The 22,833-nt window shown below is 39.9% G+C and overlaps 1 long non-coding RNA gene across 13 annotated transcripts in view, besides 1 other annotated feature; it reads left to right on the forward strand.

Annotated features, from left to right (window-relative positions):
* The window catches only part of LINC02955 (long intergenic non-protein coding RNA 2955), a 491,729-nt gene that overhangs the window by 127,675 nt on the left and 341,221 nt on the right, over positions 1-22,833 (forward strand). The window lies entirely within an intron of this gene.
* Positions 19,488-19,688: a silencer, noted in NCBI's record as "peak1603 fragment used in MPRA reporter construct". NCBI's record gives its function as "represses an SCP1 promoter by STARR-seq MPRAs in K562 erythroleukemia cells {active_cell/tissue: K562}" and the evidence as "EXISTENCE:reporter gene assay evidence [ECO:0000049][PMID:32103011]".

Below are 22,833 nucleotides of genomic sequence, written 5' to 3' on the forward strand. Positions count from 1 at the left end.
AGGGCTGTGTCATGAGCCATGGTCTCTCATATTTAGCTCAGAATAAATCTCTTCAAATATTTTACAGTTTGACTCTTTTTGTTGACAGAAACCATTGCTTTATATATTTTGTCTGCTTTTTAGTTGTTTGCAGCAGGAGGGTAAATCTGGTTCTTGTTCTTCTGTCTTGGAAAGAAGTAGAAGGCTCCCTCTGTCATGTTTTTGAAAAGAAAAGGAAAAAAGCACCTTATTCCTTTTAATATGGAAGAGAAAACCATTTTCCTCTCCTTTCAATTACATTAAATGTACTCTGGGCTATAAGGGAAGTAGCATGATCATTCTGTGATGGATGTAAACGTGCTGCTTTTAGCGATATTTTCTTTCATTCTCTTGCCTTATATAATGTTGAGATAAAAGATAATGTAGGGGTTGATGGTTCAGTTTGAGGGACTAGATGTTATCCAGGAAGCTGTTTAGATGTTTTTAGGATAAGAATTAGACAGTCCCCAAATGCTTTTCCCCTTTGAGGAACATTCTTTGATTATATACTTGTGTGAATGGAGTTTTCTCTTTCTGAGATTTCAAGGATGAATGTTTGTTTATTTTAAATCACTATTTTAATCCAGATTAGTCATTTCAGTAGTCTGGTGGCAGTTTTAGTGCAGTCATGTGCTACATAATGACGTTTCAGTCAACGACAGACAATATGTACTATAGTAATCACAGTAATGGGCTATACCAGAAAGCCTAGGTGTGCAGTAGGCTATACCACTAAAATTGTCACCATACTAGTGAAATGACTAGGTTTGGGTAAATACACTCTATAATGTTTGCACAGTGACACAACACATTTCTCAGAAGATATCACTGTTGTTAAGCAGCACAAGACAGTAGTTACTTTCGAAAGTGGTTTGGAAGCAGCATAGGAGATTTTTGTCTACTTATTTTTGTGGGTTATTTTAAAATATATATTTTTTCTAAAGCAAAGCATGTTCTCACTTGTTGAATGGACAATATCCAACAAACCGTTAGGATTTTGATATGATTTGGCTGTGTCCCTACCCAAATCTCATCTTGAATGGTAGCTCCAGTAATTCCCACGTGTCGTGGGAGGGACATGGTGGGAGGTAATTGAATCATGGAGGTGGGTCTTCCCCCATACTGTTCTCATGGTAGTGAATAAGTCTCACAAGAGCTGATGGTTTTATAAATGGGGGTTCCCCTGCACAAGCTCTCTCTTTCCTGCTGCCATGTAAGATGTGGCTTATTTCCCCTTCACCTTCCGCCATGATTGTGTGGCCTCTCCAGCCATGTGGACCTGTGAGTCCATTAAACCTCTTTCCTTTATTAATTACCCAGTCTCAGGTATGTCTTTATTAGCAGTGTGAGAATGGACTAATACAGTAAATTCGTACCAGGTAGTGGGGCACTGCTCTAAAGATATGTGAAAATGTGGAAGTGACTTTGGAACTGGGTAACAGGCAGAGGTTGGAAGAGTTCAGAGGGATCAGAAGAAGATAGGAAAATGTGGGGAAGTTTGGAACTTCATAGAGACTTGGAGGGCTCAGAAGACAGGAAGATGTGGGAAAGTTTGAAACTTCCTAGAGACTTGTTGAATGGCTTTGACCAAAATGCTGACAGTGATATGGACAATAAAATCCAGGCTGAGGTGGTCTCAGATGGAGATGAGGAACTTGTTGGGAATTGGAGTAAAGGCCACTTGCTATGCAAAGAGACTGGCAGAATTTTGCCCCTGCCCTAGAGATCTGTGGAACCTTGAACTTGAGAGAGATGATTTGGGGTATCTGGTGGAAGAAATTTCTAAGCACCAAAACATTCAAGAGGTGACAGAGCATAAAACTTTGGAAAATTTGCAGCCTGACAATGCAGTAGAAAAGAAAAACCCATTTTCTGGAGAGAAATTTAAGCTGCCTGCAGAAATTTGTGTAAGTAATGAGGAGCCAAATGTAAATAGCCAAGACAATGGGGAAAATGTCGCTAGGGCATGTCAGAGACCTTCATGGCAGTCCCTCCCATCACAGGCCTATAGGCCTAAGAGGGAAAAATGGTTATTTGGGCTGGGCCTAGGACCCCCCTGCTTTATGCAGCCTCCAAACATGGTGCCCTGCATCCCAGCTATTTCAGCTCTAGCCATGGCTAAAATGGGCAAAGTACAGCTCAGGCTGTTGCTTCAGAGGGTGCAAGCCACAAACCTTGGTGGCTTACATGTGGCATTGGGTCTGTGGGTGCACAGAATTCAAGAACTGAGGTTTGGGAAGCTCTGCCTAGATTTCAGAGGATGTATAAAAATGCCTGGATGTCCAAGCAGAAGTTTGCTGCAGGGCAGGGCCCTCATGGAGAACTTTTGCTAGGGCGTGTGGAAGGGCAATGTGGGGTTAGAGCCCCCACACGAAGTCCCCACTAGGGCACTGCCTAGCAGAGCTATGAGAAGAGGGCCACCATCCTCCAGGCCCCAGAATGGTAAATCCACCAACAGCTTGCACCATGTGCCTGGAAAAGCCACAGACACTCAACACCAGCCTGTGAAAGCAGCCAGGAGGGGAGCTGCACTCTGCAAAGCCACAGGGGAGAAGCTGCCCAAGGCCATGGGAGCCCACCTCTTGCATCAGTATGACCTGGTTGTGAGACATGAAGTCAAAGGAGATCATTTAGAACTTTAAGGTTTAATGACTGCCCTATTGGATTTGGACTTGCCTGGGGACTGTAGCCCATTTGTTTTGGACAATTTGTCCCATTTGCAATGGGGGTATTTACCCAAGGCATATACCTCCATTGTATCTAGAGAGTAACTAACTCGTTTTTGATTTTACAGACTCATAGGCAGAAGGGAATTGCCTTGTCTCAGATGAGACTTTGGACCATGGACTTTTGAGTTAATGCTGAAATGAATTAAGTCTTTGGGAGACTGTTGGGAAGACATGATTGGTTTTGAAATGTGAGGACATGAGATTTGCGAGGGGCCAGGCATGGAATGATATGGTCTGACTGTGTCCCCATCCAAATCTCATCTTGAATTGTAGCTCTTATCATTCCCACGTGTTGTGGGAAGGCCCAGGTGAGAGGTAACTGAATTATGGGGGTGAGTCTTCCCCCATACTGTTCTCATGGTAGTGAGTAAGTCTCACGAGATCTGATAGTTTCATAAGGGGGAGTTCCCCTGCATAAGCTCTCTCTTGCCTGCTGCCATGTAAGACATGCCTTGCTTCCCCTTTGCCTTCCACCATGATTGTGAGGCCTCCTCAGCCATGTGGAACTGTGAGTCAATTAAACCTCTTTTCTTTATAAAGTACTCAGTCTCGGGTATGTCTTAGCAGCATGAGAACAGACTAATACAGATTTGAATTCTCAATCAATAATGGAGAGGAAAAACCTATTATTATTATTGTTAGTGACACAGGATTTTCAGGTCCTTGTCTCACAACTGGGAAAAATTCAGCATGCAGATACATTGAAAGGTGAGGAGGATGGAATTTATGTAGTGAAAGGAAAGCTCTCAACAGAAAGAGGTATACTGCATGCAGGTTTCCACCTCACAAATTGAAAACCACACATGAGCAGAAGAGGCCAGACTCCTTCCCTGCATAAGGTGTGAGTTCTTAGTGGCTCCACCCTGTTCCCCCAATGCATGTGGGTCTCCAGTCCATTGTGGGCATGCCTGGGCAAGACCCCGTGAAGGTTCCCTTATCTGTACAAAGACATCTGGTGTATATACTTGTGGGGCAGGTCAGAGATTCCCTGGGGGGCCTTTCCCTATTTGCCCAGGCATTTGGCTGTCTCTTGCCTCTATCACTAGTATCATACTGATATCATCCTAGTGTTTATTTGCACTCTATAGATTTCAAAGTGTTTTGTTGTTGTTGTTGTTTGTATTTTTGAGACAGGGTCTTGCTCTGTCATCCAGGCTGGAGTGCAGGGGTGTGATCTCAGCTCACTGCAGCCTCCACCTCCTGGGCTCAAGCAATCCTCCCACTTCAGCTCCTCAAGTAGCTGGGACCACAGATGCATGCTTCATACCCAGCTGATTTTTGTATATTTTGTATAGATAAGGTTTCTTCATGTTGCCCAGGCTTGTCTCGAACTGTTGGGCTCAAGAAATTCACCCACCTCAGCTTCCCAAAGTGCTGGGATTATAGGATTATAGGTGTGAGCCATTGTGCTTGGCATGTTTTTTAATTTTTTTTAAATGCACTATTTCTTCTAATTTCTACAACTATGCTGGCAGTATGTATTGTTATTCACATTGATGAACCAAAAGACTGAGAATAAGTAATTAGATGATTTGCCCAAGGTTATGTTGGGAATCAAAGGAAGTTTCCCAGTTATTTTGATTTGAAATTTATTGCCCCCTTTTCAGCCTAACTGTGCCTCATGACTTTAATTTGAAACTGGAAGTCATCCTTAGAATCAAGGTAGATATGTCAAATAAGCCATATTTGGGGGCCAATCTTTTTCAAGGGACTCATTTAAACAGACCTAGTATCTTATTAATTGAAATTTAAATGAGTATCATTTTGAAAAGACCGCAGAATTGCTTAAGATGGATAGATTAAAGTGGATACCTATCTCTGTTCTCCCAATACACTCTGATGTACAGAACTGTTAAAGTAATCACCTTCTGGAAATAAATTAAATACCTGAATACCAAGTGTTAGTTCATTAAAATTCTTCTGGTTTATTAATCATCGGACTTCATGGTATTTAATGAATATTATATTACTAACAGGTATGGGAAAAGGTGTCAGAACTGTGTTATATTCACCTTGGAAATAATAAATTCAGCCAATCAGTGGGAGGATCAGGCAAGTTTTCTTCAAATTTTTTTCAAAAGCATAATTTATGAATTACTGGCTTAAAACCTCTCTTCCATTTGGAGCTAAAGAGACACACGTTTCTTTACTTGTTGAGCATCTACAGTTTTAGGTGCTAGTAACATGGCAGCAAGCAAAACAATGTTCCTGTCCATATTGACTTTACATACTAGTTGGAAATATAGTCAATGAAAACAATAAGCAAATAGATATCTAATTTTATGGCTGGTAGGAATAAGTGCTATGAAGAAAAATAAAGCAGAGTAAAGGGATGCAAAATGATGGGTGGGGGACATTCTTTTTGAATAAAGTGAGGGAATCAGGCATGTGAGAATCTGAGAATAGAGCATCCCAGGCAGGGTAAGCTGAAAGCTTAAAGGCTCTGGTGTGAGAGTTTGAGGTGGATGTTTGTTTTGTGAAGTGAACAGCCAGGACTAGTGTGATTAAGCGAAGTAAGTGATGCAAAATATTATGAGATAAGGATTGGGTTTTTATACAATACGTATTTTAAATATTCTTGTGGTTTGAATGTTTGTGTCCTCTGCAAAACTCATATATTGAAAACTAACCCCCAAGGTGATGGTATTAAGAGATAGGGCTTTTGGGAGGTGACGAGGTCATGAGGGCTCCACCTCCATATATGGGGTTAGTGCCCTTATAAAAAAAGGCTTGGCCGGGCATGGTGGCTCTTGCCTATAATCCCAGCACTTTGAGAGGCTGATGCAGGCGGATCACAAGGTCAGGAGTTCGAGACCAGCCTGGCCAATATGGTGAAACCCCCTCTCTACTAAAAATACAAAAATTAGCCAGGCATGGTGGCAGGCACGTATAGTCCCAGCTACTTGGGAGGCTGAGGCAGGAGAATAGCTTGAACCCAGGAGGCGGAGGTTGCAGTGAGCCGAAATCGCATGACTGCACTCCAGCCTGAGTGACAGAGCTAGACTCTATCTCAAAAAAAAAAAAAAAAAAAAGAAAGAGGCTTGAGGGAGCCCTTTTGCCCCTTTGCCATGTCAGGATACAGCAACAAGGCTCTATCTATGAGGCAGAAAAGGAGCCCTCGCCAGACACCAAATCTGCCAGCACCTTGATCTTCCACTTCCCAGTCTCCAGAACTGTGAGCAATAAATATATGCTGTTTATAAATTACCCAAAGGTATTTTGTTATAGCCCAGATGGACTAAGACAAATATATTTACAAAAATTTATGAGTTTTATCTTAAATCCATTTAAAATCTCTCTTATGCCAAAAAATAGGCTCTTTCTGGTTTGATACTATTTTACTTACCTCTGTGAGTGGCACAAAGTAAGTTTTCAATAAATGTGAGTTGAATTAATTACTGAACTCAGCAAGATATTGAGACATTCTTATCCAGTTTTCCATCCATCTGTTACTGGTAGTAGTTCTGAACATTCTAAGGCTATAGATGAAAAATAATGGTTTTTGAATTTTAGGAAAATGATGTTGGATGCTTTTTAATCTACTGGGGATCCATGTTATTTCTTAACAAAATTAATTAAATAATTTAGTAGTGACAATGATCATTTGTTGAGCAACTACAATGTACTGTCTTTTTGCTACTGGGGATACAAATGGGGTTCACATATGTTTTCTCCTCTTCATTGCCTACCTTGGCAATGAAATTCCAAGGAGTCCATTGCCTAGCTTTGAAAAAGATAGGTGCAAAAAATTACTATGAAACAGAAGAAAAAGTTATGGCATTGAGATATGTAAAAAGTTATATGGGCCCAATGACAAAAGAGTGACTAATTCTACCTAAGAGTGAGAGGTATTGGAATGCTTTTAGAGGGGCAGACCTTGGAAGGATGAGTAAGAGTTTATCAGGAGAAGGGCCGGGCACAGTGGCTCATGCCTGTAATCCCAGCACTTTGGGAGGTCGAGGCGGGCAGATCACGAGGTCAGGAGATCGAGACCATCCTGGCTAACACGGTGAAACCCTGTCTCTACTAAAAATACAAAAAAAAAAAAAAAAAAAAAAAATTAGTCGGGCGTGGTGGCAGGCGCCTGTAGTCCCAGCTGCTTGGGAGGCTGAGGCAGGAGAATGGCATGAGCCTGGGAGGCGGAGCTTGCAGTGAGCCCAGATCGTGCCACTGCACTCCAGCCTGGGCGACAGAGCAAGACTCCGTCTCAAAAACAAACAAACAAAAAAAAGAGTTTATCAGGAGAAGAACATGGGTAATTAAAAAGAAGAATGCCATTTATGTGGAGAAGCACAAAAGTAGAAAATGCTCAGCCTGTTTAAAGAACAAGGAATTATTTGGTGTAATGAAAACATAGGGTAGGTGGAGGATATAGGGAAATGAATTTGGAAAGTCAGATTAAGTTCAGGTTGCCAAAAGGTTTGAACTTATTTTGGAAATCCATTGTCTCCAAAATAAGCCAAATAGACAGAAAAGATTAAAACTTCTACTTACATTCTTTTTTTTTTTTTTTTTTTTTTTGGAGTGCAGCGGCGCTATCTTGGCTTACTGTAAGCTCCGCCTCCCGGGTTTACGGCATTCTCCTGCCTTAGCCTCCCGAGTAGCTGGGACTACAGGCACCCGCCACAGTGCCCGGCTAATATTTTTTTGTATTTTTAGTGGAGACGGGGTTTCACCATGTTAGCCAGGATGGTCTCGATCTGCTGACCTCGTGATCCGCCCGCCTTGGCCTCCCAAAGTGCTGGGATAACAGGCATGAGCCACCGCGCCCGGCCTCATTTTTTAAATAAAAAATAAGAAGAACATTACACTTTACTAAACTTTTTGTGATGCGCTTGTTTTCTTTTCTTCCAAGGTTTCTATAATTGGTCTGTGTCTTATGATTATTGTTGTCCAGGCAGTGTTTCTGACAAAGTTGTTGCTACCTGCACATGCATATAGAAACTTGCAGAATGATGGTATGCAGCTTGGAAGAGTACTCAGAAGCACTCTCTCAAAATATGCTGTATGACCAACACTCATGATGGAATGGAGTAGGATATTGTATAGAAAAACATGAACACTGATGACACTAGGTCTAAAAGTTATGCAAAGGGTCAGAAGCTGAATGTTTCTGGATTGCTTATTTATTTTCTTTGTATTTTCCTTCTTATATATGTATAACAGATCTTTCAATCAATGTAAGACAGAAATTCTAAGTGCTAAGAATCCATCGTTCTATAATCAAATTGGCATTATTCTTCATTTCTTAGTCATGCATACATATACTGTTGTAAATGGCTTCTTTAATTAGGCGAAATACAGTAGATGATTGGACAGTGGTGCCTTGACCCAGTCTGCGTGTCAGACAGCTATGTGTTACATGTAGTACCTGAGATAACTCGAAGAAAGAAAGGAAATTCCAAACATAAACGGTTGACTGGTGTGGGCTTGTTTGTTTTCTGTAAGCATATTGTGAAGCATCACAGCTTATACGTGCCTGGTTATATTGATCACTCCTCACAAAATGGACAAGTGCTTTCAAAAGATTTGTACAAAGAAACCATAGATTGAAGGTGATGTAAATAATACAAATACAAATGAGCAACTAGACAATGGTACAGTTTAAAACTTCCACTCATAGTTCAAATTCTTTTTCAGGTAAGAAAAATGGTGTAATCAGAGTTGACAAAAGTTAGCCTAATACATTTGAAAGTATGTAGAAGTCTATTTAAAATATTAATTTACATCCACTATCATTAACAATCAACTATTTCTTAAGTGTGTTTAATGAGATGTTAGCTATTGATTGAGATACGTTAATGCAACTTTTAAATAAGTAAATATTATCAAAGATCCTGCTTTAACAATCAGCTGATAGGTGTATGCACTCAACCTTATAAACAAAGATAGGATAGGCAATTTACAAAACAAGAAACAAATTGGTTATAAACATAAAAATGTACTAATTAAAAACAATTTTTTTGAGGTGAGGTCTCATTCTGTCACCCAGGCTGGAGTGCAGTGGTGTGATCATAGCTCGCAACCTGGAACTCCTAGGCTCAAGTAATCCTCCCAATTCAGCCTCCTGAGTAGCTGTGACTACAGGAATGCACCATCATGCCGAGCTTGCCATAGTTTATTAGGAGAGTTTATATATTTGTCTCTCCAACTAAACTGTGCTTATTCGGAGGAGGGTGATTCATTTTTGTAACCTTTAGCTGCCACAGTGCCTGTTCTTCAGTAGGGTTCAGTAAATGTCACATAAATAACGTTCTGGAATAGATAACTTACAGTTTTTAATATCAGTGGATTGTTCATTTTCATTTAACCTTGTGATGCTCAGTTTTATGTGTCAACATGGCTGGGTGATAATATTCAGTTTTATTCAATCAAATGTTAATCTAAGAGTTTCAGTGAGGGTATTTTGTGGATGTGATTAAAGTCCGTAATCAGTTGGCTTTATGTAAAGATTATCTTAGATAATTTGGGTGGCCTGAGCTAATTAGATAAAAGGCTTTAAAAATAGAACTGAGAGGCCGGGAGTGGTGGCTCATGCCTGTAATCCCAGCACTTTGGGAAGCTGAGGCGGGCGGATCACCTGAGGTCAGGAGTTCAAGACCAGCCTGGCCAACATGGAGAAACCCCGTCTCTACTAAAAATACAAAAAAATTAGCCAGGCATCGTGGTGGGTGCCTGTAATCCCAGCTACTCGGGAGGCTGAGGCAGGAGAATCGCTTGAACCTGGGAGGTGAAGGTTGCAGTGAGCAGAGATTGCACCACTGCACTCCAGCTTTTGAGACAGAGTAAGACTCTGTCTCAAAAAAAAAAAAAAAAAAAAAAAAAAAATAGAACTGCGGTTTCCCTGAGGAAAAAGATATTCTGCCTATGGAGTACACTATCTGGTTCAGCCTGGAAGTTTCTAGCCTGCCTTTCTTGATGACCAACGCTGTGGATTTCTGACTTGCCTAGCCAGCTCCTACAAATCACATAGCTAATTCCTTGCAATAAATCTTTTATACACACACATACACATCAGAGTCCACTGGAGAAACAACCAGTAGGAGATTATATGTACTCGTGGCTTGTGCAGTGGGCCCTGACTGATACAAGCCCCTTGCTAGTCATATAGCTCCCACTTACTAAGTACTTGTTATCTGCCTGGTCTTGTGATTAGCACTTTGTATTCATTGTCTTAATTCTCAAAAGGACCCTTAAAAGTAGAGATTATAATCCCTGTTCCGCAGTGGAGGTAAGTGAAGTTTAGAGCCAGTCAGTAGATTTTCTAAGGTTTCAGTTAGGTATCAGAATCAAGATTCAAATCCACGCTGGTCTAATTCCAACTCTTGGTCTTAACTTTTATGCTACTGTGCCATGGGGAGTTTAGTGTTATAAATTCTTTTATCTAAATCCAAATCCTTTCCTTTCGTGTGTTTGTTTTTATAGTTTATAGAACAGAAAAGACCGATTCACAACTGAACCAAGTCTCTAGCCCCTTCCTTTGGGCAGAGTACTCCTCATGTTGAAGTGGTGTTATTCCAATCAGTCTCTGTCCTTAACAGTGGAAATATTCCTAGATATCTCCCTGAATTATTTAGATTTTTAGGTATTTAGGCCATGTCCAGTTCAAATTAATCAAGAAGGTGATATACCTAATATACCCAAGTCCACTCTTAATAATCAAGATAAATGTATATACTGCCTTAATGTCAAATAATGCCTTTAAAAATACATTGTTCTTCCCAGATATACTCATGCTTTAACGGGTCTAATGTGTACACACACACACACACACACACACACACACACACACACACACACACACTCTTAAAAATTACCTTTAAACCAGAGTGGCAAATTATCTTTCTGTACTGACTTATACTAGAAAAGATAGCCCTGCATTGGTAGATAGCCTGGGTTGATGAAAAGATGACATTGGGTTGACAAAAGATAATCCAGAATATTTCTAACTAGATGTCTTAAAAAATTTTTTTTTTTTGGAGACAGGGTCTCACTCTATCACCCAGGCTGGAGTGCAGTGGCACCATGTGAACTCACTGAAACCTCCACCTCCCGGGTTCAAGCAGTTCTCCTGCCACAGCCTCCCGAGTAGCTGGGACTACAGGCATGCGCCACCGTGCCTGGTTAATTTTGTGTGTTTTTTGGTAGAGATGGGGTTTCACCACATTGCTCAAGCTGATCTCGAACTTCTGACCTAAAATGATTCACCCACTTTGGCTTCCCAGAGTGCTGGGATTATAGGCATGAGCCACCGTGCCTAACCTATAACTAGTTGTCTTTGGACATTTTACACTTACCTCATTGTCCTCAACTTATGCTCATTACAAAGTGAGGAGATGGAGTGAGCTTATCTGTAAAGTACCTTATAGCTCTCAGATTTTCTGTTATTATTTTAATTTAAAAATTTCAGTAGTGTTCCTCATCTTGCCCTCTATTTCAGAGATACCCTATCACCCACAAAAAAGTACCTATCTTTTTACAACTGTTTTTTCTGGGATTTAGCAAACTGTTCTGTTGACCTTCTACCATTCTTCTCTGCTAAGTCTCGTCTTCTCTAAATGGGAAGAGATGAGGATAACTTTGTTTTTTTAAATCTCTTGTTTATTTATTTATTTATTGAGACAGGGTCTTGTTCTGTTGCCCAGGCTGAAGTGCAGTGGTGCGATCATAGCTCATTGTAATCAGGAAAGAGCTAGCTTTTTAACTAATGGATTGTGGAAAGATTGTTGTGGTTTTTACTGCAGAAAACTTCCCACTTATTCAGCTATAGAAAATACTATGCTGGCTGGGTGTGGTGGCTCATGCCTGTAATCCCAGCACTTTGGGAGGCTGAGGTGGGCGGATCAAAAGGTCAGGAGATCGAGACCATCCTGGCTAACACGGTGAAACCCCGTCTCTACTAAAAAATACAAAAAATTAGCCGGGCGTGGTGGCGGGCACCTGTAGTCCTAGATACTCGGGAGGCTGAGGCAGGAGAATGGCATGAACCCAGGAGGCGGAGCTTGCAGTGAGCCAAGATCATGCCACTGCACTCCAGCCTGGGCGACAGAGTGAAGACTCTGTCTCAAAAAATATATATATACTGTGCTAACAGAAATAGTGTGCTTTTAAATAAAATACTCCAAAGTTTATGTGTTTGTATAACCTTGAGAATATTAGACCTTCTTAGAGAATCTATTCAGAGAGTAAAAGGTATAAAGGAATTAAATAGGACTCTGAAGTCCTGTTTTCTAGCTGAAGACAAATAAAGCTTAGAGAAAGGAAGTTAAGTATGCATGCAACAATCAAAACCAGAAACAACGGTCAGTAGCTGCAAAGATTGCTACCATTTACTCATAAAGTCTTTTCAGATTAGGTGTATTTTGCACCTGCTTCATTGATTGAGATATATGTGCTACAATGACCATGTTTTTGAAACTTATGGTCTCACAAAAAATCTGATCAAGGTTCAGATTATAAAATCAGGACCACCCCAGATAACCTAGGAAGCATCATCTTTGAGTCATCACTTGGTGGCATCCCCACCCCATGTCATCTTTGACACCATCCCTAACAGAAATAGGAGAAGACACAGGAAGAGATAAGAGTTGGCTCTTTGTCGCGCCATTGCACTCCAGCCTGGGCAACAAGAGTGAAACTCCATCTCAAAAAAAAAAAAGGAGTTGGCTCTCCATATCCTTGGGTTCCACATATGTGGATTTAACCAACTGTGGATAGAAAATATTTTAAAAAAGGATGATTGTGTCTGTGCTGAACATGTACAGATTTTTTTTGTCATTATTCCCTAAACAATACTGTATAGTATGTGTTTACATAGCATTTACATTGTATTCAATTTTGTAAGTAATCTCGGGATGATTTAAAGTATGTGGAACAATGTGTGTAACTTATATGTAAATATTATGCCATTTTATATTAGGGACTTAAGCATCATGGATTTTGGTAACCATGAGGGGAGGAGGAGTCCCACCACCAATCCTCCACAGATACTGAGGAACAACTTGCTTTATGTACATGAGGATCATCAAGCCTAGACGATTCCTTAAGGCTACTCTGGTCAAAATGTTCTCAGAATGTTAATAGATATTATATGCCTGAATGGTTTGAAATATCCTGGGATGAACAATTTCTTCTCTAATGACTGGGAGGTTTTATCCTAACAAGCACTATGAATTTTATTGAGGCCAATATGGTGTTCAGTGTTTCCAAAACATTTGACCAGGAGCTTTTGAAAGAGATGGCCACACCTTGGAAAACACTGCTTATTTGCTGATTTCTTCCCTTTTTTTGCCCATAGATTTTTTAAAAAATATGTATTAATGAAATTAAAGTCAGCTCCAAATAGGAGCTGAAATAGGAGAAGGTGGTTATATTTTACTGACTAGCTACCATGTATTCATATTTAGTGTCTCATTTAATCTTCATAACATGTGTTGAACAAAAGAAGAAAATAGAATAAAATGGTTAAATAAGCTGTCCAAAGTTGCATAGTCAGGGAGTGTTGCAGCCTCGTGTGTGTGTGTGTGTGTCTGTGTGTGTGTACACAAGTATATGTGTGTGTTGTGAGAGGGAGAGAAAAAGAAATAAAAGCTAAATTCAGCAAATATTCATTTGACACCTATTCTATGTAATGTTGCTATTCTAAGCACAAGAAGATATTTAGATGTCTCTGAACTCTGAGAGTTTATAATCTAGTAGGGAAGGTATAGTATAGACAAGTATTCATGTAAGACAGATTGTGGTAAATGTACAATTTATTAGAGATAATTATAACTGGGATCAAGCCAGAGGAAAGGGCAAAGGCAGTGTCTCAAAATTGGAGTACCTAAGGGATTAGCCCTTGGAGGTTTTCCATTCTCTGTCTGGACCCATTTACTTGGTGGTTTCCTCTGGTCCCATGACTTTAAATATTATCTTAAGCTAAAGACTGACATATTAATTCTTCTATTCCCTCTCCTGAAATCAAGATCACTGTATCCAATGGCCTATTTAACATTTCCACTTGGGTTTTTAATAGACATTTTAACTTGTACAATTGAACTCCTAATACCTCCACTCCCATGCCACACCTTCTAAACCTGTACCACCTGCACTCTTGCCTAACCCAAGTAATGGCCACCTCAGTCCTTGGATATACTCAGTCCAAAACCTTGGAGTCATTCTTGACTACTCTCGATTTTCTTACATTCTACATCAAATCATTAAATTCTATTGGGTCTCCCTTCAAGTTATATATAGAATTGCACCTCTTTTCACCATTGCTGCTACTGCCCTTGTACACCACCCTAACACCAACATTTCTTTCTTTTTGAGGCAGAGTCTTGCTCTGTCACCCAGGCTGGAGTGCTGTGGCACAATCTTGGGCCACTGCAACCTCTGCCTCCTGGGTTCAAGCGATTCTCTTGCTCCAGCCTCCTGAGTAGCTGGGATTACAGGCATGCACCACTACACCTGGCTAATTTTTGTATTTTTAGTAGAGACAGCATTTCACCATGTTGGCTAGGCTGGTCTTGAACTCCTGACCTCAGGTGATCCACCTGCCTTGGCCTCCCAAAGTTCTGGGATTACAGGCGTGAGCCACTGCGCCTGGCCACCAAAATTTCTTGCCTAGATTATTGTAGTAGCCTTTCAGCTGATCTCCTCATTTATTTTCTTGCCCATCCACCTTACAACGTAGCATCTAGGGTGATCCATGTAAAACTCTTCATCAGATCATGTCACTCGTGCGCAAAACCTTGCAATAGCTTCCCATTTTACTCACAATAAAAGCCAAAGTCCTTAAAATGCTCTACACAGTCCTGTTTCCTCTTTGTTTTCTCCTCCTTCTCCTTTCTTCTCCTCCTCCTTCTCTTTTTCCCTCCTCCTCCTTCTCTTTTTCCCTCCTCCTCCTTCTCTTTTTCCCTCCTCCTCCTTCTCTTTTTCCCTCCTCCTCCTTCTCCTTCTCCACCTCCTCCTCCTCCTCTTCCTCCTCCTCCTCCTTCTCCTTCTTCTTTCCTTTTTTTTTTTTTTTTTTTTAAGAGACAAGGTCTCTCCCTGTCACTATTATCCAGGATGGAGTGCAGTGCCACCATCATAGCTCACTATAGTCTCCAACTCCGGGACTCAAGCAGTCCTCCCACCTCAGCCTCCTGAGTAGCTGGAACTCTTGAACTCCTGCCCTCAAGCAATCCTCCCACCTAGGCCTTCAAAGGTACTGGGCTTACAGTCAGGAGCCACCATGCCCAGCCTCTTTCTGCTATTCTAATGGCTCATGCTGTTCAAGCCACCAAGCTTCCTCCAGTTCCTCGAATATTTTATGGCATGCTCTGCTTTCAGGGCGTTTCCATTGGCTGCTCTTTCTACCTGGATTTCTAGTCTTCCAAATATCTTCACTGATCACTTCCTCATCTCTTTGATGTTTTTTCTCCAATGCCATTTTCTCAAACTTACCCTGGCTTGTCTGTTTAAAATTGTGATTGTTCTGCATTCCACATTAACACTCCCCCTTATTCTCTTCTAATTTTCCCATGACACTCATCATCTTCTAACATGTAATATAATATACTTGGCTATTGTGCTTATTGTTTTTCATCTATCTCCACCACTCATTTGCTATCCTTGTCTAGAATGTAAACTCGCTGAGCTCAGAGATCCTTATGTGTGTCTGGTACTGCAGAATGAAGGAAGAGAAAAAAGTCTTCTTGATGGAAGGGATCTGGAAAGGCCTCATGGAGAAACAACATTTCACTGCCAATAGCCTTCAAGGTCTTGGTGGTGCAGAGTCATACTGGTCAAATTTGGGAGACATGGTGCATTAATTTGCTAGAGCTGCCACAATTTATCACAGACTGGGTGGCTTAAATAATAGAAATTTATTTTCTCACAATTCTGGATGCTGGAAGTCTGAGTTCAAGGTGTTGGTGGGATTGGTTTCTTCTGAGGTGAGGTCTCTCCTCTTGCCTTGTAAATGGTCCACTTTTCACTGTGTCCTCACATGGTCTTCTCTCTGTCCTTCTCTGTGCCATAATCTCCTCTTCTTATAAGGAAACTAGTCATATTAGGTTAGGGCTCACCCTAATGACCTCAGTTTAACTTAATCATCTATTTAAAAACACTATATCCAAATATAGTTACATTCTGAGGTACTGGGGGTTATGAGTTCAGCATATAAACTTGGAGGACAGCAACGCAGCTCATAACACACTGTGCATCATCGGGTCTGTGTCTGTGGCTCTGGCTCTGGCTGCTTTGACTCAGCCACTCCTACCTGGGATTTTTTCTTTTTTTTTTAGTATAAACGTTTTGATGACAATTTGACTTTGCCCCCAAATACAACAAACTAAAAAACTTTCAACTCTTAAAATGTGACAAAACAACAACCCAAGAATCCATCAATAGATGAATGGATAAACAAAATGTGGCATATACATACAATGGAATATTATTCAGCCATAAAAAGGAATGATGTCCTAGCATGTGTTACAACATGGGTGAACCTTGAAAACATTATGCTAAGTGAAATAAGGCAGACATAAAAGGATAAATATTGTATGAGTCCATGAATATACTTAGAATAGGAACATTCACAGAGACAAAAAGTTGAATGGTGGTTACCAGGAGCTGGGGGAAATGGAAAGAGGGGGAGTTATTTTTAGTGGGTACAGTGTTTCTGTTTGGGATGACAATTCTGGAACTAGATGGTACTGGTTATACAATATTGTGAATAATGCTGAATTGTATACTTACAAATGGTTAAAATGATAAGAAAAAAAAGTTACAGAGTAACATATAAGGAGACAACCTTTTTCTTGAGTCTCTGTCTGAAGTGTGGGGTGAGAATATGATGAGAGTGAAGGACAAGGAATGTGGTGGTAAATAGGCCAAGTCCTCAGCATCGCGAGGCATTTAAAATGCACGTGAAGTGCATTTCAGGAAGGGCCAGCCATCCCTATAAGCCAAATGCCTGTTAGTTTAAGAGAATTAACTTGTATCTTGAATGATCTATACTTCAAATTCTCAGATTAACCTTTGAAAGTTTAGGATGTTGAAGATATAATTTTGGAGCCATTGTGTGATTATTTTTTCTTACTTCCTAATAACCCAAGAAAGTCTCTCAAGTTTTCAACACTTTTTTTTTTTAGCACTCCTAGTAATGTATGTTATATTTAATATAATGAAACTCTTTCACAAGGATGATTATGGGTAAGGGGATTGATATCCTCTGAAAGGCTAACATAGTTATAAAGAACTTTTAAAACCTTTATTTAAAATAAAATTATTATGAATATAATATATTAGAAGTCCTCTTATCTAGTGTAGCTGAGACTTGAGGTTGGTTGATAAATTGAAAAATGTGGTGAAAGCCAGGATCATAAAAGTGATAACATGCATATCGTAAACTTTTTAACTTAAAATACACAAATGTACATTCATTCATTAATCTTTTCATACAAAAGCAAGGCTTTTCATTGAGTGTGAATTTGCTGATTGGAGTTCTGTTTGGTGTTTCTTTCCTAAAGGATATTCATAATTCCAAAATGCAGTTTCATTGCATTTAAAGTGGAGGAAGAAATTGAAATTTTTCATGAACAAATATGGAAACCTTCTAAATTTTTATGATCTCATTTCACCTAATTTAGCTAATTTTTTTCAACTTGGCTTTATGAAGTCTTTCCAAATATTCAACTTAGTTTCATAGAAATAGCCCGCTTTCTCTTCATGCTCGTATTTAAATATTTTATTAACTTATATAATTAAGAAAAGTACAATTGGCTTAACAGGTGGGGAGACAAATGGAGTAAACTTTTGGTAAGCATGTGGAAAGCCTGCTGATCTAAGCATTTGGATGCTATGGGCATCAGCCAGGAAGGTTTAGAAAGGGTATGGAGAATATTCATTCATTTGGCAAGTTTGCTGAGTGGACATTGTCTAAGGGAGTTTAAACTGTATGCGCTCCTAAAACCCATATAACACTGAAATGAACAAAGTAAAAGTCTTCCATAATAGATGGGTTGGGGGCAGAGGAAGTGATGTATATTGAACAGGATCAAGAGCTACTATGTTTAGGTACTTTTTTATGATCTACTTCAACATGGCCAATGTAAAGTACCTATACTCAAATGTCTCTCGAGTCAAAATGGGACATGAAATTGTCCTGATTCATGAAAATAGCCCCAAAGCAATGTCTTCTGTGGGCTCCCTGTGAACAGAGACAGTGAAGTTGCTTAGGCAACGCTAAGATTCTTAAGCATAGATATTGTGGACAGTGGGAGGATCTTCTTCTTTCTCCTTCCTTCTTCCTTCTTTCCTCTTCCTCTTCTTCTTCAGGATCTCCCTTCCTTCCTTCCTTCCTTCTTTCTTTCCTTCTCCTCCTCCTCCTCCTTCCTCTCCTCTTCCTCCTCCTCCTCTTTCTTTTTCTTCCTCTTCCTCTTTTGCCACTGCCGCCTTCTTCTTCTTCTTCTCCTTCTCCCTCTTCCTCTTCCTCCTCCTCCTCCTCTTCTTCTCCTCCTTCTTCCACTTCCTCTTCCTCTTCTTCTTTTCTTCTTCTTTCTTCTTCTTCTTTCTTTTCAAGGTGGGATCTCACTGTTTTTCCCAAGCTAGATTTGAACTCCTTGGCTCAAGTGATCCTTCTGCCTCACCCTTCTAAGTACCTGGGACTACAGGTATTAGCCCTTGTGCCTGGCTGTTTTTTCCCCACTTCGGAGTGAAAAAGAACTTATCACACATGGAAGGCATGTGCCTTTGGCAATGTAGATGTGACAGTTACCCTAGAAAATTCTAAGGCTCCTAGGTAGAATTAGGCCTGTGGGATTAGGCTTATGGCTCAAGGATGCAGCCCTGACCTTTTAGCGTCCTGACATTTTTTTTTTCCTCTTTGGCTACTTGCCTTGGCAAGAATTTTAGCCTTAGCATATGACTGGGTGTCCTAGCTTAGCTAGTCAATCTGACGAAGGGGTAATTTTTACCACCAGCTAGAAAGATGAACTTCTTCCTAAGGTCTGCTGAGTCTCAGCAGCTCAGAGAGAGCCACAGAGAATCACAGTTGTGAGCCTAGAGTGGAGGCAGCTCTCTTAACACCAGGCCTCCTGGACTCAACAGCTCTGTGGGGTTTTCTTAAGTGCATTGTGAAGGTATTGATAGAACTGAGGGGCTGGAGAGACTCATCTCTCCCAAAATTTGGCCTAAGGGTAAGGTCTAGCATTTAACTGTTGTGATCTCTTGTGATTCCAGGCAAGGAATCCATACAATAAGACAATTTATACCCCGTGCTCCCTGTCCTCCCAACCCCCCAACCCCCACCCCCACCACTTAATACTAGAAGAGTGGGGAATTCTAAACACTTAGTAAAAGACAGGAGAAAATGGTTCCTCATAAACCATCCTTGCCATCTTGTCCCTGTGGTCATATAATCACAATGAAAATTATTCATGGTTTTACAGTTTCATCTCCTTCCCACTTTATGAAAATTAAGATGAATATACACTTCCTATAAAGCAAGTGTGGTTTTATATTGCTCTGTGTAAGGTCCTAGAGGCTTTATACAAACACAGAAGAAACACATTTCACTCACCCAATATTTTGTATAATAGTAATAGGACAAAAAACCCACAGGAACACTCACAGTTTTACAAACCAAGAAGAAAATGTCACCAGCCATTGACTGTCATATATGAACATATTATTTGGCATGTAGCAGGCTGACAAATCTACAGCATCTACACAGTCAAGGGCTTGGTGTAATACAATTTCTCTAGGTTAAAATTAACTCCAATTTAACCTACACCAATGTTGCTAATTATTCACATCCTTATTGATGACAAGCAGATAAAAACCTCTAATTTCCAACTAGAGGTGTTATCTCAAAACGATGAGTTGACCAGATGTTTAAAATAGTTAGAGGCCTTTCTGGCTAGCACAGGGAAGATGGCACACATAGATATGTAGGACAAATCATCTTGGGAAAACAAGTTGGCCTAAGACATGCTGACTGCACAGGCTCCAACAGAAGAAACAACAGAACTGCTTAAGGCTCAGGTCTAATAGAGATTTGCTGGTTCTTCATTTTATTGTTTCTTTCTTCTAAATTTTTGAGATGAAGCTATTCAAGAAGAATGGGTATGCCTAAGTTAACAAAAAGGTTGAAAATGTTGAATATTTTCAAGAAAGCAACATTTTAAAGTCCCATTGTTGTTAGAATAAAAATATAGTGGGCATTGTTGAAGATACTATTTATAGAGGATGTTTATAAAACTGAATGAAATTTTAGACCTGCTGTCTGGAATTGGGGTAAAAAACTCAAATGCCTTCAGGGACAGTCAGTTGTCACAAATGAGTGAAACTGACTAGAAGTCAAATAATAGGAAGTAGTGGGAACCAAGGAAAGCAAGGGTTGCTGCTCTGTCAGGAGTGCAATGGGTGCTACCCAGCAACAGCTGATTGTTGCCAGGACAGAATGCAGGCCCAGTGTAATCCAATCTTTTGATTTTTCAAAGGAAATGCACACTCTAAAGAGAAATCTGGATTTTCATGTAAAATCCTCTTACATATAAATATTGGCAGCCAAATCAAAATATTAAAAGAAAGTTGTAAAACAAACAGTACACATCTATGGATGAAATTTAGTCTGATGACCTACAGCTTTGACCCCTGATAAATGCTTTAACAAGTTTTGGAGTAACATTCATGGCCATTAATCCAGTGATGTATGATCTTCTTAATCTTTTTTATCTTCAGCATTAAAAATTAATACAAAGCTTTTATTTGCACATTCTTTCTACATGTAGTCTTTCCAAACTGTCTTCCACACAGCAGCCAGAGTTACAACAAAGATCTTAACTGTCACCCCCATTCCCTGAGTTCTAAAACCTATGATGATTCCTTAGTGCCTGCAAGAGATTTTCCACACATACAATGACCTTTTCAATTTGAATTTAACCTATTTTTCTGAATTTATCTCTGGACATTGCTGCCCTGCCTCCCTGTGTTCTGGTCATACCAGATTACTCATCATTCCCCCAAACTGGAAGTCACTACCCACTTACGTGACTTTGCTAATGCTATTCCCTTCTCCTGAAATGCTTTTCCTCCCTATTCCTGGTCAACACCCAACTCAAATACCTCCTCCTCTTTTTAGTCTTCTCGGATTCAGCCATCCTCAAGAAGTTTAGTTATTCTGTGTTCCTATTAATGAAATGCATACTTTACTAGGGAACTTATGACATTGTAGTATACTGATTTGTTTTTGTGTCTGTATTTTCAGACAGGTAGTGGGCACACTGCAAGATATATCCTCAACTCTTAAAATTGTAGGTACAATTTTTTATTAACTCAAATTTAATACAAGGCTATATAAAAACAAATAAAAATGTTGCATATTTAATCCAACTGATGGACTCCCAAAAGATTGTTTATAAATAAAAATAAATGGAATCAGACTTTTATACTGGGAAACTTATCTAGAAGAGTTATTTTGTAAAAAGAAGAATGCATTTGAAATTCCCAAGGCTGGTCATACGTATACCTACTTATACATTGTGATTTGAGGGGACAGTAAACCTCCCAGTATTTTGGATCTGTCTAATATAGTGCCTGATGGACTTAATTACTCCTTAAGGGTGCACTGTTCAGCATGGTAGCCATTGACCACATGCGGCCACTTAATAAAAAGTTAATAAAATTTAAAATTTATCAACATTTTTCAATCACACTAGCCACATTTCAAGTGTCCAGTAGCCACGTGGGCTAGTGGTGATTATATTGGACAGGAGAGATATAGAATATTTCTATCTCAGCAGAAATTTCTATTGAAGAGCACTGTCCTAAGAGATTTCATCAAGAGATGGGAATTACAATAGGGGGAAAGGCAATTCATCTTCTGGTAAAGATGGTGAGTTAGCTGGTAATCACTCCTAGGTAATAGTCTGTATCAGGAGCCAGTGAAGTACAATCCATGGACTAAGTCTGATCCTCAACCAGTTTTGTAAGTAAAGTTTTATTGGAACACAATCATAACCTCTTAATTAACTTATTGTCTATGGCTGCTTTCCAGTTCAATGTCAGAGTTGAGGAGTTGAGATGAAGATTATGTTGTCTGCAAGCCAAAAATTTCTGGCCCTTTAGGTAAAAGTTTGCTGCTCTTGGTTTATATGATTGATTCCATATTTATTTTGCCACTAAATAAAAAAGATTAGGAATAGGGACTCTGATGAGCTTAGAAAAAAAGGAGAAAGAATGGAGGGAGGCTTCTTAGTGACTGAGATTGGGGAACTAAAAATGAACATATCCAACATTTACTTTGATACATCTGGAAATACCAATAATGACTTCTCAACATTGAAATTAAATAACAGGATGATAATTTAGGAAAATTTCACCCTTTAAATTTCTGTGCTACACAGAGCAACATGTTTAGTTTCTCTGACTAAATCATTAAAATCTTTGGGAAATTCTGGGATTAATAAGTATTTGTTAGATGAATGAATGAATGAATCTGTAAAATTAGGAATTAAAACAAAATGATCTCCAAGACGTCTTCTGGTGAACAGATTTATCTTGGTTGGAAATTTTACATGCTAGATTTAAAAAAAAAAAACAAGCTATATCTGAATAAAGATCCAGTTCCTGCTCTCTGAGATGACCCTGGGCAATGCTGAGGTAGACAGGCATCTCCAGGTTAAGTACATGCAAATCACACAAACTAACCCAGAAACACAGGCATCAACACAGCACACTGCTGACGGTGGGTACATTTTAGAGGTGAGATGTAAGGATAGCCTGGAGATTTTCACATTTAGATTTCATAGAGTGAAGGGCAAAGGTTAGGACACTTCTTAAGCAACCCAAGAGTCTGAGGAAGCTTATTCATTTTGAGTTGCTACTTGTGTGAGGGTCTGTAGTAATAACTGAGTGCCAAGTGAAGTGGGAGATGCTCTCTCTGTCCTAAAAACAGAAGGAGACTTGGTAATGCAGGATATTTTTTTGACCCCGTTGTGAGATTCGCGACAGGGGTGGCCTGTTTACTCAGCCCACCCTGTTCAACCCCTTGCAGGAGGCAGCGTGTGAACGAATGAGTGTGGGAACCAGAGTGAGCAAGTGCAGGAACCGGCCG

The sequence above is a fragment of the Homo sapiens genome, chromosome 12 (genome assembly GCF_000001405.40).
Source record: "Homo sapiens chromosome 12, GRCh38.p14 Primary Assembly".
Lineage (NCBI taxonomy): Eukaryota > Metazoa > Chordata > Mammalia > Primates > Hominidae > Homo > Homo sapiens.